General features: G+C 38.1%; 1 annotated feature.

Moving 5' to 3' along the window:
* Positions 1460–1629: an enhancer, noted in NCBI's record as "experimental_61925 CRE fragment used in MPRA reporter constructs". NCBI's record gives its function as "activates a minimal promoter by MPRAs in K562 erythroleukemia cells, with activity observed for the non-introgressed 21:32292565 variant allele {active_cell/tissue: K562}" and the evidence as "EXISTENCE:reporter gene assay evidence [ECO:0000049][PMID:34662402]".

Here is a 3049-nt window from a genome sequence, read left to right on the forward strand (position 1 = left end):
AAGTGTCACTAGTCTGGTATCACCAACCTAAAGTCAAATGCTGGCGTGAAAAATCAATAAAGGCATGCAAGTGAAAAGTCAGTAACATTGTAGGCACAATAGAACTTTAAGTAAAATGACAGGTGTGAAATATAAAGAGATAGTCCCAACTATCCAACAACCAATGGAGTAGATATAATTCATAGTAAAGCTCCCTCCCACATTTCTAACAACAGAATTTGAAAGAGATTTTGTAAAACATATAAACTGGTATTTCCTTTATAAAATAGACAGTGCAGGATAAGACCATGGAAGGAAAACTAAGGGCAACTTTTGGATCACCTTTCCCCTCTACTTACTTCTATAAAATGAAGTAAAATAGACCGAATGGCCTCAGAGAGGATGACCAACTAACTCTCCAAACTCACTCAGGACTGGAGTTTCTCTAGACATGTGCCTTTCAATGCTTAAAGCAGTTACAAACACACCAGGATGGTTGGTCACTTTCCTCTGTGGACAAGTCTTGGACCAGAATTTAAGTCAATTAGATTTGAAAATTAACATTCTTTAATGTTTAGGGAGAGTCAGGTGACTATTTTCCCTGAAGAATCATATTGTGTTGACACCCAGTTACATCCTCCTTCACATTGAGTGTTAACATCATTCTCACGGCTGTATCTAAATTAGCTTTCTTAGGGCACTGGCCAGGTGTAGCCTCTCAGAATGCTCTCAGCTGGAAAATGGAGGGCACTTCCAATTCCTTCGACCCATCTTTCTGTAATCATTTCAAATTTCCATTTTCCCTAGGGTATTATGTTAAATTTCATTCTCATGAGAGCTCTTGGAAAAAGCTCTGACTAAAAACTTTCCCACCAATAGCTTGCCCCCAAAGACTATGCAGTTGGAAACTGAAACTCACTTTTGAAAGACAAAACAAAAGCATCCTTGCAAATGGATGGCAGACTGGACGCATGCCCTGTTTCTGTCCCCAGGTATTCTCCTCTTCCAGCAACACGTATGATATCCAGAGATCACAAAATAAAATGTGAATGTTTTCACTAGATCAAATAAATGAGGCACAAAATAGCATAAGAACTTATTCATTACACAAATTGTATTAGTAAATTAGAGGCAGAATTGGAAAAAACATGTGTTTACCCACATTCCAGAAATATCTTGACTCTCTCTATGCCTAAACCAACTGGGGAAAATTAGTAGAAACATTATATAAAAACAAAATACAAAACAGTAAATTTATTGTCTCTCGAAATTAAAATAAACACAGAAAGAAACATTACGGTTTCAATTTTATCAGCATTAACAACACAATTTAGCTTGAAAACACTAATAGGAAGAAAAGAGGATTGTGATATTATTACTACATAAAGAGCCAAATATTTACTTTCATGGTTCTTAGTCTTTTAACCTTCTTACCTGTTACTAAATACATGATGCTCTGAAATTTGTTTTGGCATTACTAAAGAATATCCATTGTGTAGAATTGCAAACACTGCTGGTAGTCTTGACATTTAAGGAGCAGGTGGTCTGACGAAATGCTCCAGCATTCTATAACCTAACAATTTGGATTCCATACCTGAACAAACAGGGAAAGAGTAGGTTAAATTTCCTGACCCCTGAAGTTTTCCAAAGGGCAAATTTAATAACTGCATTCCCAGTTGGTGATTGGGAGGTGGGAGAGAAGAGGGTTGAGGAAGCTCTTGGAGGATTAAAAAGCTACTGTGACAGCTGCCCACAACACACTATGCTGGTGAGAAGCAGGATGAAGAGCAATCACCCCAGAGAATTAAGTGGCTGCAGTGGTGCTGCCAGAACTTGGCTGAGAAATAACGCTTCCACAATCTTAGAAATAAGTGCTGAAATTTGCCAACTGATCTTCCTCTTTTAGGAGAATCAAGGTTATAAAAACAGAGCAATGCATTTGATTAATACAATTAATACATGCTTTTTGCTAGACAGAACAATAATGTTTAAACACACCAAACTAAGCTTCTTTACTGAAGCACAAAATGATATGATCTAACTGATAAACTCAAGGTTCAAACCCTAAGGACATCACTGCACTTGACAAGACTGTGTATTATTATAGAACTAATGACCATTCTCTCCAGGACCAATGCATCTGTGTCATTGTCCCTTGCAATTTAATAGTTAATATGTGTTAGTGTACTATGTTGCAGGCAGTGTTTTGACTAATTTAAGCCTCATAACAATGAAAGGAGGTCGGGGTACTATAATTGTTACCATTTAACAGATAAAGAATCAAAGTTACACAGATATTAGATACATCACCCAAAGTTACCTCTCTAGTGACTAACAGAGCTGAACTTAAACCCAAGAAGTCTGGCCTGGATGTCCACACCCCTAAACCACTATAATATATTGTTTTCCTGGTAAGAAATAACTCGGTCTTACTCAAAGCTTGTGACAAACATATTAAGCTTTTAGAAAATGTTGTAAATGTTTCTTTATACTTCTCATCTCATCTGATTGCCTTTCAATCAGTCAATGCCCAGGCCACTTAGGATGGGCACCAGGAAGCCCTTCTCCCCTCGTCAAATTTTTCTCTTCCTTTTCTACTCCATGGCTCCCCTTGCACCATCCCCCGCTGCCCTTGGTGGCTGAAGCTCAAGCAGCTGCTTGCACCTCATTCCAAGTCCAGGGGTTCTTACTCGAGTCCCCATGCTGGGAGTGTGGAAGTGAGCCTCCCTTTCTTCAGAGTAAAGCATCTACAAGACAAACTTCTATTTTGACTCTGTTAATTGCCTCTCATCACTGAAGTGTTATTTTGAAGTGTTATCATGTTGAAGACTCTTCCCGCCAGATACCAGTGAAGAGGAAAAAAAAAAAACAAAATGAGGACGAAGAAATAAAGAATTCTAACCCATAAAACACACAAAACTGTACATACAATTTCAGCAGGCTTGTAGACTCCTTGAAACCCCTGCCATAGGGCAATACTGAGCAAAAGACAACTTTTTAACTGAAAAAAAAAACTTTTGTTTATTCTTGAAAGGATGTCGCCCATTTGGTAACAGTTGGGGGAAAAAGC

This window comes from Homo sapiens, chromosome 21, assembly GCF_000001405.40.
Source record: "Homo sapiens chromosome 21, GRCh38.p14 Primary Assembly".
Lineage (NCBI taxonomy): Eukaryota > Metazoa > Chordata > Mammalia > Primates > Hominidae > Homo > Homo sapiens.